The 14,240-nt window shown below is 34.6% G+C and overlaps 1 long non-coding RNA gene across 5 annotated transcripts in view; it reads right to left on the bottom strand.

Annotated features, from left to right (window-relative positions):
- Positions 1–8,267, bottom strand: part of LOC105378027 (uncharacterized) — a 246,946-nt gene extending 238,679 nt beyond the window's left edge. For all 5 annotated transcript variants that reach the window (XR_001744387.3, XR_001744385.2, XR_007059791.1 and 2 more), the window contains exon 1: positions 7,455–8,267. This is a non-coding gene — a long non-coding RNA (uncharacterized LOC105378027). The remainder of the gene's footprint in view (positions 1–7,454) is intronic.
- Positions 8,268–14,240: the final 5,973 nt, after the last annotated feature.

Genomic DNA, 14,240 nt, shown 5'->3' with positions numbered 1-14,240 from the left:
GTACGCTAAAGGGTGCGACAAGTTTGCAAGTAGTGTTGTGGTTTCTTATAAAGTTAACTGTATACTTCCCATATGACTAAGCTGTCCAACCCAAGAAGATTTATTTTATTTTATTTTTTTTGAGATGGAGCTTTGCTCTTGCTGCCCAGGCTGGAGTGCAATGGCACGATCTTGGCTCACTGCAACCTCCGCCTCCCGTGTTCAAGCAATTCTCCTGCCTCAGCCTCCCCAGTAGCTGGAATTACAGGCATGAACCATCACACCTGGCTAATTTTGTATTTTTAGTAGAGACGGAGGAGTTTCTCCGTGTTGGTCAGGCTGGTCTCGAACGTCCGACCTCAGGTGATCCGCCCACCTCAGCCTCCCAAAGTGCTGGGATTACAGGCATGAGCCGCCGCACCTGGACATCCAAGAAGATTTTTAAAAATTAAAATGCTCACATAAAGACCTATATCCGAATATTTATAAGGTTTATTTTAGAATAGCTAAAAAATAGGAAAATCTAAATGTCCACTGATGAATGAACGGATAAAAAAATTATGGTACATCCATACAATGACATACTGCTCAGCAATAAAACAAAATGATGTACTGATACATGCAACTATATGGATGAATCTCAAAATAATTATGCTTATTAGTGAAAAAAGCCAGACTTAAGTGACCATATATGTAGAATTTTATTTTCATGATATTCTGGCAAAGAGAAAATCACAGGACATAAAACAAAGCAGTGGTTATGAGGCACTGGCATTACAGGGAGGGCTGACAACTGACAGGCTCAGGGGACTACGTTGGAGTGATTAAACTATTGTATATCCTAATTGTAGTGCTGATTGCATTGTGTATAGGTAAAAAGAGTGAATTTTATTCTATTTAAATTATATATCATAAATATGCCATGCATTGGATTGTGTTCCTCCAAAATTTACCTGTTGAAGTCCTAACACCCATACCTCAGAATGTGACCTTATCTGAAGATAGAGTTTTTGCAGAGGTCATTAAGATCAAATGAGGTCTTTAAGGTGGGTCTTAATCCTACATGACTAGGGTTCTTACAATAAGGGGAATTTTGTACACAAAGACATGCATAAAAGGAAGATGCCATAGGGAGAAGATGGCCATTGACAAGCCAAGGACAGAAATCTGGAACAGATCCTTTGTTCAAAGGCCTCAGAAAGATCCACCCTGCCCACACCTTGATTTTGGACTTGTTGCCTTCAGATTGTAAGACAATAAATTTCTGTTAAGTCACTCGTTTGTGGTACTTTGCTACAGAAACCCTAGCAAACTAATATACCTGAACTCTAAAAATACCTTTTTATTTGAAAATTAAAATAATGACCATCATAATAGTCATTGCAATGAAAGCAATGAACTTAATATTGCAGTGTTTGTGTATACACACCATGAAAGAAAAGCTATCTCCTTTATTAGTTTTAATACATTTGAGTAGATTGTCTCTGTAGCATCATAAAAATGTCCTGTAATAAGATGGTCTTCAGGTGTGCCTTTGTTGTTTTGTCCAAATCTCTGCATTTCTGCATTACTTAAATGTTAAGATATTGCTTTAATTGTTACTGCTCTGAATGTATTATGCAAGTATCCAGATGTGTCTCATTTTACATCTTTTTTATAAAGAGATCCACTCTACCACATGCTTAGTGTTCCACAAATATTGCCAAACCCTCCTAAAAGAAAGATTCTGGAAGTGCGTAGGAAGAAGATTGTGATAGCAAGGGTCATGGTTTCCTTTCCCTGTACGTAAGTGCAAATTAGGCTCTTTAGAGAAGCAGTTTCCTAAAGAAATGTTCTCCTCAAACGTACTGTATGTATGAACTTTAAATGAGAAGATGGCATGCCACATTTCTCACTTGGGAATCGGCTATTGCACATGGCGGTGACTCTCAAAAAAAACGTTGATTATTTGATGAGGTAAAATATGTGTTGCACAAATATGGAAGTAAAATCTCATGGTAATTTAAAAAACACTAAATCATACCCAAGTTTTGGTATAGCTATATCACTACAAAAGTCTGTTAGGGTGCACTCAGAGAAAAAAAAAGTTTCTAACTCTTGAATCAGACAAGTTCAAGCGCATCAGTCATGAATCTCCATCTTGGAGCCAGGCCCGGGGAGGAGGTCACTGAATAGCTGAACATAATTATCCATCAACATAACAACCTTTAAATGAATTTCTGCAGGCATGTTAAGGAAGTTTCTTGCATGTCCAGTGCTTATAATCATTATAATTGCACGAGAGGACTTTTTTTTTTACTAATGTAACCCTATTTAATACAATCCTTTACATCACTGTTGCCCTCTGTAATCTCCTTAATGAATGAATATTTAATTATATTACTCCTTTATCAATTTTATATTGAGTACATCTGGAGGTCATGTGCTAGAACCCTTAATGTATAATTTCATTTTTGAAAACATATTAAAATAAATAATTTAAATGAAGCTGATTTTCATATATTCTAATATAATTTCATAAATAATTATAGACAGAAACTTGTATGGCTTAGCAGATTGGTAATGCAATGTAGAGTCTTCTTTTAGCTCACATGTTCAAAACCAACTTCAGATTATAAATCAAGAAAAAGTTATAGAAATTAAACCTCATGTTGTGAGCTAGTTTTATTTGCATGTATCTACTAAAAACATTAAAGTATGAAGAAATGCAAATCTTTTTCAAGTCTTAGAAAAATTTCCCAAAAGGTAGAACTATAATCTGAAATCCCTGGAGAAAGAGAGAGAAGTGGGTAGGAGAAAGAGAGACAGACAGAACAGGTATTTATATATAATGGTAATTCATATCTACTTCCATATAGTAATACTCATGTATTAGTAAACTTGTACACATTTCCCTTGCAGACATTAAAGATATAAAATAGAAATAAAAATCACCTTAGTGGTTTAGAAAAATACATCTTTCTCAATGTTATTTAACATCCCTCCTGGTGGGTCTTTTTTGTACACACCAAATGTGCTTCCCTACAAATTTCTGTAAACCCCAGATGCCACTCCTATTTGTATATAGTATGAATTTGTAGTGGTGACCAGATACTTGTTTTCTTCTTCAGGAACTTTTTAAAAATAAAAGTGAGATATCAATCAAAAGGTATATATTATTCTTCCTTTCATTTTCAGGAAAATCTGCTTCTGAATTACCCTTGGCTATTTAAAGAATGGATGCTCACCATATGCTTACACTGGACCTCTGTATATCTTTCCCTTATGGATAATCTAGAAAAATTAGGAAAAGATCTAAGTTAAAGCATTGGAGCAGCCAAAGTCTACAATCCAGAAATCTGAAGTTAGATTCCCAGAGGTAGGTTTATCACATGAGGGTCACAGAAAACTGTTGAGTGCTAAAATGGTAGCTATATGACGGAGTGAAATAGTGCAAATAATCCTATCAAATGTGGAAAGAAGAAAGGCTAGAAGGAGACAATGTAGAGGGCTTGAATCAATATTAATACCTGGGAATGACAGCAGCAGACGAGCTATTTAGTGTGAAACGATTAAGGTTGACATGGCTCAGTTTGAACAATGTGTTGCACTGGTCATAAAGCTAAGAGACAGATCTGCAAACAATGACAAGCCCTGTGTACAGTAACCACCATCATTATTGACTGAGTGATCAGAAGGTTTAATTGGTGACTGAGGAATCACTAATTGGGCATTAATCTCTCAATCAGTCATGTTTGCTTATAGAAATGACTCTTTGGTAAGTTTCATTTTCTTTCTTTTCTCACACAGCCAGGGAAGCTTTGACTTGTACATTAGAAGACAAGTTTACTTTAGTAGTTGATCTGGCTTTCGAAAGGACAAAGCCACTGATTCCACAATTAGAAAGGAGTAAAATGTCAAGAACCCTGGTAAAGTAATACCTTTCTTTAAACGGACAGTGAGAAATGAACAAGTGAGACTGAACCCTTTACTGAGAGCAAATTTAATTGGCAGGGGTCAGGGAATTTCACAATGATATAGAGTTCCTGAAGGATGCAAAAAAAAAAAAAAAGTATTCTGAAGAGGAGGAAAAAACTGCCTAAAGTAGGTCTGGTGATGTCAATGTCAATCTTCTCCTTCACAATCTTGCCTGGGGCTGGTTCTGCCAGGACTAAAGAGACAATGACATCTGTACGGTATATTCATAGTACTGTAGCATTTTATTGTACACCTTGGTAAAAATAAAGAAATTTTTGGCTTCTTTCTTAAGAAAAAGATGAGGGAGAAACTAAATTATGTGTTTGTTGTTCTAAAATGCATATTGCTCTACATTCAGTAAATGCAAAATAAGTGCTCATTAAGTGAAATCTATACTAAAATTTTTAAACAATTCTCAAAAGTGGAAAAATTAATTTGCTTACAGACCCAGTAGTTGAAGTTCCAATAGTTCTTAAATAGCCTAAAATAGTTTTGCTCTTAATAACAGAGCTCTGGGTTTACGAAATATGTTTATTTGCTAGGGAAAAGTTTTCAATACCTATGTTTCAGGAAGGGTGTATTGGTTTTATATGTATCTTTACATTTTTCTCTTTAGGATATATTTCCAAAACACGATTTATATTGTGAACTGCATCATGTATGAACTGTTTCTAGACTACTTGAAAATGTACCAAAATAAAACATTCTAATCTGTACAAAATCAATGTCTTGAAACTGAATCCATTTCTAAAATATTACACACGTGACTGGTAAACATGATTATGAATATCATCATATTTTCCAGGTTAATCTGAATTAGCTGCAAAGATAATAATAGATTCAACCTTGGAAAACTATGCAGATTCCAGTTTAAAGTGCTGTGCTACTTAACAAAGATGTACAGTTCTTTATATACCATCTATGCTAAAAATCGCAGGTATTGAAAACTTTTTCCCATCAAGTAATATACATTCTAAAATGCATATTGCTGTATGTTCAGTAAGTGCAAAATAAACTCTCATTAGCTGAAATCTATTCCAGTTTTTTAAACTAATTCTTAAATGTGGAAAATGTAAAAAATGTGTTCTATCATCAAATATTATTTTTCATTATGTATTTCAACACATAATTAAGTTAGCTATTGTTTCACTTGTATTGAAAACCTAGAATCTGAAACCAGCGACTTGTATACAGAGTTATTTCTCAGGCTTTTGTGTCTTCGGTGATCCCGGCTTTTAAGTCATTCACTTTCAATTTCTGTAAAGCTGTTCACAAAAGCTTTACTGGGAGTTTGTTTGTTGCTAAGCTTCATCCATGTTACGGTGCATTATTAAAGTTCATTTATTTTGCCTACTATAGAACATGCCAACGTGAGAATGACACACGGTTTATTCATCTAGTTTGCCACAGGGGGTGTTCAAATTATTTCCAGGTGTCTGATGTTATGATATTCTCATGCAGGTCTCTGGTGGTACCATGTTTTAAGAGTTTCTCTTGGGTGCATATCTCAGCGTAGAATTCTGGGATATAGAGCATATATATGCTCAACTTTAGAAGGAAATAGGCAACAGCAACTTTCTTCATAGCTTCTTTCACCAAGTTAAACCTCCACTTTTTCAAGACTAATCAAGTCACTACTAATTAAACCTATTATTCTTTTCACTGTTAGGCACTTTGCTTAACCCAATAATCTCAGAATTGTTAGGGAACACAAAAATACTGTAACATCTGTGACAATGCAGTTTTCCTAATAAAATATTTTTATTTTTTCATGTGCTTTAAACTGTTTGTTTTGTCAAAGCAGAGAGTTTCCTGACTTAGATGTTGTTAGGGACTTGTCTGAAATTGTGACTTCAGAATTAATTCCTGTTCTCACTAGTATCCCGGTTAGTCAAATCAGACACTTTGTATGAGAAAAAGTTTCACTTCATTTTTTTCAAATCAAAAGCACTTGTTAATATGCACTTGAGGAATATAAAAAACAAAAATGCCTTCTAGAACATATGTAGTAAAATAAATTATTAAAATTAGTTCAATAAAATTAAAATGATGTGAACTTAAAATAATTAATTTTAAGTTGGGTAAATTTCATGTAATACCTCATTATTTAATATGGAATAATTTAATGAAGCAAAAAGCAAAAATTATAGACTAAGAATATAAGCACATGATAATATATTAATCTTTCAGAAAATATCTTCATGCATGTGTTCAACTCTGACATTCAGTTTCTGGAAAAAATTAAATAAGAATACCCCCCTTACTTTAATTAGACATAATGATTTTAAAAATTGTATATTTACAGGAAGGAATGGGACATGCTACTATAAAATAATTAATCCAACATTTACCATTAAAATTTCATTTGTTGATAGGAAGTAGAATATATTTCAACACATAATTATAATGAGGTAAGATGATTTTCTATAATTAAATACTTCAAGTAGCATTTGACAAAGTAAGACTTATCTACAATGTCAAATAAAGGCATATCGCACCTAAAATAAATAATTGTTCATCTGCAACTTTTGTACATCATAATTCAAAAAATTTGATGTACTAAATAGACTCTAGTTACTATTTAAAAAGTTAGAGTAAGTAATCTGTGTTATGCTGGAAATTTGTAGATTCTTTTGTTTCCTCCTAATGATGGATTTAAGGAAAAGGAATTGAAAATAACATTTAAAATTGCTTACATTAAATATGTGAATAAAAGCCATTTTAAAAAGTTTATTATTTCTGACAGCTCATTGCGTTACTCTAACTATACTTTTTTTTTTTTTTTTTTTTTTTAATTGAGACAGAGTCTCTCTTCATTGCCCAGGCTAGAGTGCAGTGGTGCGATCTTGGCTCACTTTAACCTCTGCCTCCAGGGTTCAAGTGATTCTCCCACCTCAGCTTCCTGAGTAGCTGGGATCACAGACACATGCCACATGCCCGGATAATTTTTTTTAGTGGAGACAGGGTTTCGCCATGTTGGCCAGGATGGTCTCGAACTCCTGGCCTCAAGTGATCCGCCTGCCTAGGCCTCCCAAAGTGCTGGGATTACAGGCATGAGCCACTGCGCCTAGGCTAACTATACATCTATAGTTAGCAATTCATTTTCAAAAGCAATTCATCCTTTGGAAACAGTAGTTTGGCACAGAGGAGGCCATAAAATCAGATTTGCTATCAATTCTACCACCAATAATCTACCATGTATCTGATTTAAGAACAGTCTACAAGGACAGAAATACATCATTTTTTATTCCCTGCTCCTTTCTTAACAGAAATATGTATAAGACAGGGAAAAACACAAATTTCTGTAGTGGGATTAGGGGATTTTAATGAAGGCAACAAGAGTAATTTGAAATATCTGATGAGATGAATGAGTGATTTTTATTTTTTGTAAATAGCTATTATATTAAGGAAAGGGGCTTAAGGGGTTTAAACAAAAAACAAACAATATCATGCTAAAAAAGAGTAATTGTGGTAAGTGAGGAGCTTTAATTAAGTCTGTTAAAACTGTCTGTACTCACATTCTTGGAAATAATCCCAATTTGAAGACCACTGTTCAATGACTCCACTAGGTGAAAAATCATCTTCTTCCTATCAAAAGTGAGGTAGACATTTAATACTTCCAGTCAAGCCTGAATCAAGACTTTCTACATTTAAAAAGGCAGATGATGGAAAATTACACTAGAAATCAGCTGGAATGGGGGCAGTGTTGCTCACTGGCTCAGGTTGTGTCTACCCAGGATGACCTGATGTTCTGGTTTGCTTTCCCCAGCAGGATGTGGTGCACCTCTTGTCCCAGCATCCTGGCAGTTTTTCTTTACTTTTCTTCTTTTTCTTTCCAGACAAAAGTGTCCAAATTTAGATAATAAATTATATATCACATACTTCTACCTCAATCCTCTCCCATTTATATGACTTTTTGAGAAACTATGGTTCAAGGTTGATCAATAATTATGTAGAAATGCCCAGAGCCACAGAGTTCTTACATAAAGGGAAAATGTTCTCACCCCTAATTCCAATATTATAGAACCTGAGGCTGTGTGCTTTCTGACTGTAGCTTTATCCCCAGGTCCAAAATAATGAGCTATATAAATGACCAACATAGGACTATTTTTCAATGGGGAAAAAGGCAGGGAAACTGGATATTTAATTTGCAAAATTAAAGCTGGTCATTAGCTTCACAAAGAGATTAGCAGTCTGTCGAATTCTTACATTGATGTTTCTTAAGGGAATAAGATGGAGTGAAAATGTCTGAGCTTTTTATTTCTCAATTTAGCATAGAGTATGTGAATGAGTTACATTCATTTTCGTTCAACATTCACTCTGCAATTATTCATTAAGTATTTAAGGCACCCCAAATGCCTGTCTTCAAGGACTTTAAAGTTAAGTAGGGGAGACAGACAAGCAAAGAATGCAATATAAGGTGGTAGGTACTGCAAAAACATAAAGTGGGAAAACAAAGGAAAAACTTCCAGCATGTCAAAATGTATTAGGAAACCCTTTTGATCCTTCCTGACTTTAGACGAGTAAATAGAGCTCTGTATTTTTGGTTCATGAACGTACTTCCTTAATTCTAACAATGTGAATACACAAGTCCCCCTCCCTGACAAATGTCTGAATCTTAAAGCTGAATGTAATTGGCATCTATTTTTGAACTTTTATGAACTATTTGTGGAGAAACGTTTTGCTTCTTGATGCAAAGCCATGGGCAACTGCAATTCACCACAACTTCTCTCCTGCTGCCTGAATTCTTTGAATAAGGCATTGTGTGAAATTCCGACCTCATTAAATCTGCTGTTTAGCTGTGCTCTGTGCAGCCACTGCGAATCTGCTCTGGGTCAACCCTCCTGCTTGTGAAACCATTTAAGGCAAACAAGATGCCTGAACCATGAGGTGTAACATAATACCAAAGTCAGACAGCCACATTCTTTACTGCTTAAGTAAATTTCTACATTCTTTGCTGATCAAACTAAACTCTTTTTCGTTTTTATTTGGTAGAATCATTCAGACAAAATGTTGCTTCCTCCAAATAATAAACTGCACTGGAGGATCACATAGTTAAAGAGCCGAGAAGCTCATTTCACTTAACCATAGTCTACAAAGGCATAAAAATTCAAGTGGAAAGAGTCCCCCTGGTAAAGTGGATCACTTTAATTCTGAAATAGAAATTGCCTGATGACACCACTTGGACAAATTAAGCAAAATATTTTCTATTCTGCACAGAACAGAAGATTCATTCCAGAATAATTTTACTCTGCTCTAAAGCAACCCAAGAAGTCATTAAGTGTGTGTGTGCTCACGTGCATGCATGTGTTAGGTAGATGGGAAAAATGTCTGCCAGAATTGAGACCATATTCTCATTTCACATGATTTGACAGTTCTTATGAGGCAGCAGTGACTGTTTTTCTACCTACCTTGGTGACAGTCTCAAATCAATCAGTGACCTAGATGGAAAAGATTTTATAGCCCATTACCCAAGCCTTCAGTCATCCCACTGGTATTGTGACCGAACTGATTTTCAACTCCAAAAATAGACTCTGCTACTGAAGTTATGAGATTTTCCAGACAGAGACAACAATGTGATCGGCTTGGAGTAGACCTACAGATTTCTTCAAAAGTATTTGTGATATATTTTTATAACTTCAATTATTCACAATGCCTCAAATAAGCACCATTGTTAAGTTTGAAAAGTTATATATGTGATATATTAGCATGACATATTAATACTTAATGTGGAAACACATAACAAATTCATTAAAAAGACTTTTTTAAGCTCTTTGAAGTATGTGAGTTTTTATTATTTTTTAATTTTAATTTGATTTTTCCTATGATATATTTAAATAGCAACAATCTTTAATAGTTGTTTTAACCTTGCTAGAAAGAACATTTGTAGATATTCATAATTTAATTTTTTTAGAATATTGCTTTTTATACTTTTTAAAAACATTTATGGGTACATAGTAGGTATATATTTATGGGGTACATGAGATGTGTTGATAGAGGAATGCAATGTGAAATAAGCACATCATGGAGAATGGAGTATCCATCCCTTCATGAATTTATCCTTCGAGTAACAAACAATCCAATTACCTTCTTTATTTGAAAGTATATAGTTAAGTTATTATTATGGTCACCCTATTGTGCTATCAAATAGTAGGTCTCATTCATTCTTTCTATTTTTTTTGTACCCATTCACTGTTTATATCTTCCCCACCAACCCCTCATTACCCTTCCCAGACTCTGGTAACCATGGTTCTACTCTCTATTTCCATGAATTCAATTGATTTGATTTTTAGATCACACAATTAAGTAAGAATATGATGTCTGTCTTTCTGTGCCTGGCTTATTTCACTTAACAGAAAAATCTCCACTTCCCTCCATGTTGTTGCACATGACTGGATCTCATTCTCTTTATGGCTGATTAGTACTTCATTGAGTATATGTACAACATTTTCTTTATCCATTCATCTGTTGACAGACACTTAGGTAGCTTCCAAAGCTCAGCTATTGTAAACAGCGCTGCAACAAACATAGGAGCGCAAACATTTCTCTGATATACTGATTTATTTTCTTTTCAGTGTACACTTAACATGGATTGCTGGATTATATGGTAGCTCAATTTTCAGTTTTTTTGAGGAAACACCAAACTGTTCTCCATAGTAGTTGTATAATTTACATTCCCACCAAGAGTATACAAGGGTTCCCTTTTCTCTACATCCTTGTCAGCATTTGTTATTGTCTGTCTTTGTGTATAAGCCATTTTAATGGAGATGAGATAATATCTCATTGTAATTTTGATTTACATTTCTGAGATGATCGCTGAGGTTGAACACCTTTATATGTATCTGTTGGCCTTTTGTATGTCTTCTTTTGAGAAATACCTGTTCAAATCTTTTGCCCATTTTTAAATAGGCTTATTACTTTCTTCCTATAGAGTTGTATGAGCTCTTTATATATACTGGCTATTAATCCTTTGTCAGAGGGTAGATAGCAAATATTTTCTCGCATTCTGTGGGTTGTCTCTTCACTTGGTTGATTGTATCCTTTGCTGTGCAGAAGCTTTTACACTTTATGTGATCCTGTTTGTCCATGTTTGCTTTGCTTGCCTGTGCTTGTGTAGTATTGCTCAAGAAGTCTTTGCCCACACCAGTGTCCTGCAGATTTTCCCCAGTGTTTGCAGTAGTTTCATAGTTTGAAGTCTTAGAGTTAAGTCCTAAGTCCATTTTAATTTGATTCTTGTAGATGGTGAGACATAGGAGTCTAATTTAATTCTGCATATGAATATCCAGTTTCCCAGCACCATTTCTTGAAGAGACTGTCTATTCCCCAGTGTATGTTCTTGACAACTTTGTCAAAAATGAGTTCACTATAGGTTGTTTCTGGGTCCTCTATTCTGTTTCATTGGTCTATGTGTCTGTTTTTATGCCCATACCATGCTGTTTTGGTCAGTACAGCTCAGTAGTATAATTTAAAGTCAAGTAATATGATTCCTCCAGTTTTGTTCTTTTTGCTTAGGATAGATTTGACTACTCTTGGTCTTTTGTGGTTCCATATAAATTTTAGAATTGTTTTTTCTACTTCTGGGAAGAATGCCATTGTTATTTTGACAGGGATTGCACTAAATCTGTGGATTGCTTTAGAGAGTATGGTCATTTTAACAATATTGATTCTTCCAATCCATGAACAAGGAATATTTTTTCCATTTTTTGGTGTCCTCTTCAGTTTCCTTCATCAGTGTTTTATGGTTTTCATTATAGAGATCTTTCATTTCTCTGGTTAATTCTTAGGTATTTAATTTTATGTATAGCTATTGTAAATGTGATTACTTTTTAAATGTGTTTTTCAGATTCTTAACTATGGCATAGCAATGCTACTGATTTTTCTATGTTGATTTTGCATCCTGCAACTTTGCTGAATTTGTTTATCAGTTCTAACAGGTGTGTGTGTGTGTGTGTAGTCCATAGGTTTTTACACATACAAGATCATATCATTAGCAAATGAGGATAATTTGACTGCTTCTTTTACAATTTGGATGTCCTTTTTAGCTTTCTCTTGTCTAATTGTTCTAGCTAGGACTTCTAGTATTATGCTGAATAACAATGGTGACAGTTAGCATTTCTGTCATGTTCCAGATCTTAGAGAAAATGCTTTCAGTTTTTTCCATTCAATGTGATACTAGCTGTGGATTTGTGATATGTAGAGTAGAATTAGTATTATTTCTTTAAATGTTCAGCAGAATTCAGCAGTGAAGCCATTGTGTTCTGGGTTTTTCTTTACTGGAAGACTTTTTATTATGACTTTGATCACATTACTTATTGGTATATTCAGGTTGTGAATTTCTCCCTGGTTCTATCTTGGTAGGTTGTATGTACCTAGGAATTCATCCTTTTTTTTCTTGATTTTCCAATTTATTGACACACAGTTGCTCGGAGTAGCCACTAAGGATCCTTTGAATTTCTGTAGCATCTGTTGTAATATCTCCTTTTTCAGTTTTGATTTTATTTATTTGAATCTTTTCACTTCATTTTCTTAGTCTGGATAAAGGTTTGTCAATTCTGTTCATCTTTTCAAAAAATAACTTTTGGTTTCATTGATATTTTGTATTTTTTCCATTTTAATTGCATCTCTTTCTGCTCTGATCTTTATTATTTCTCTTTTCCTACTAATTTTGTGTTTGCTTTGCTTTTGCTTTACTAGTTCTTTAAAATGAATCATTAGATTGCATATTTGAAGTTTTTCGTTTTTTGATGACCACAGTTTTAAGTATATACATCCTTCTGAGTACTGCCTTTGCTATATCCAATAGGTTCTGTTTATGTTGTGTTTCTATTATCATTTAAGAAATTGCTCAATTTTATTCTTAATTTCTTCATTGATCTACTCATTCCTTGTCATTCAGAAGCATATTGTTTAATGTCCATGTATTTTTAAAGTTTCCAAAATTTCTCTTGTTATTATTTTCTAGTGTTATTCCATTGTGGTCAGAGAAGATGCTTGATATTATTTTGGATTTTGAATGTTTAAAACTTGTGTGGTGATTTGTGGTCTATCTTTGAGAATAATCCATGTGCCAAGAAAAATAATGTGTATTTTGTGGCTGCTGGATGAAATGTTCTGTAAATATCTTTTAGATCCATTTGGTCTGTAGTATGGATTAAGTCTAATGTTTCTTTGTTGATTTTCTGTCTGGAAGATCTGTCTAATGTTGAAAGTGGGATGCTGAAGTCTCCAACTATTATTGTATTGGGGCCTATCTCTATATTTAGCTCTAATAATATTTCCTTTACATATCTGGGTGCACCAGTGTTGGGTGCATATATATTTACAATTATTATATCCTCTTGCTGAATATCATTATATAGTGACCTTTGTCTTTTTTTATAGTTTTTGTCTTGAAATCCATTGTTTCTGATATAAATATATGACTCCTGCTCTTTTTTGGTTTCCAGTGGCATGGAATATCTTTTTCCATCCCTTTAGTTTTTTTGTCTATATGTGTCTTTACAGGTAAAGTGTGTTTCTTGTAGGTAACAGATTATTGGATCTTGGTTTCTTTTCATCCTTTCAGCCCATCTATGTCTTTTGATTGGATAATTTAGTTGATTTATATTCAGTGTTATTATTGATAAACAAATACTTACTCCTACCATTTTGTTATATGTTTTCTGGTTGTTTTGTGGTCCTCTCTTCTTTCTTTCCTTCCGTTCTTCCTCTAGTGAAGGTGGTTTTCTCTGGTGATACAATTTAGTTTTTTGCTGTTTATTTTTTGTATCTATTGTATGTTTTATGGTTTGAGGTTACCATTAGGCTTACAGATACTATCTTATAAACCATTATTTTAACCTCCAAACCCAGAATGGGTCCAGAAGTGCTGTCCAGGATTCAGGGGCTAGAGTCAAATACCTGAGTAGCCTACCTGGTGTTCTATTGTATTGTTACTGAGCTGGAACTCAAACCACATGATGCCATCCTTCCCACTCTTCCCTCCCCTTTCCAAAGGCAGAGGAGCCTCACCTTGTAGCCATTGCCATCCTAGGCCACAAACAGTACTGCCAGACTACAACTGGTGTTCCCTTAAGGCCCAGGGACTCTTAAGTTAGCTTGTCATTAATTCTGCCTGGTCTGGGACTCAGCCTTTAGGGCAGTGGGCTCCTCTCTGGCCCCAGGCAGGTCCAGAAATGTCATCCAAAAGTCATGTCCTGAAATCAGAGACCCCCCAACAGCCAGCTTGGTGCTCTACCCCACTTTGATCATGCTGGTAACTAAGGTGCAAGACAAAGTCCCTTTTACTTTTTCCTCTGCTTTTC

Source organism: Homo sapiens, chromosome 6, assembly GCF_000001405.40.
Source record: "Homo sapiens chromosome 6, GRCh38.p14 Primary Assembly".
Lineage (NCBI taxonomy): Eukaryota > Metazoa > Chordata > Mammalia > Primates > Hominidae > Homo > Homo sapiens.
This window is presented reverse-complemented; position numbering and strand designations above follow the sequence as displayed.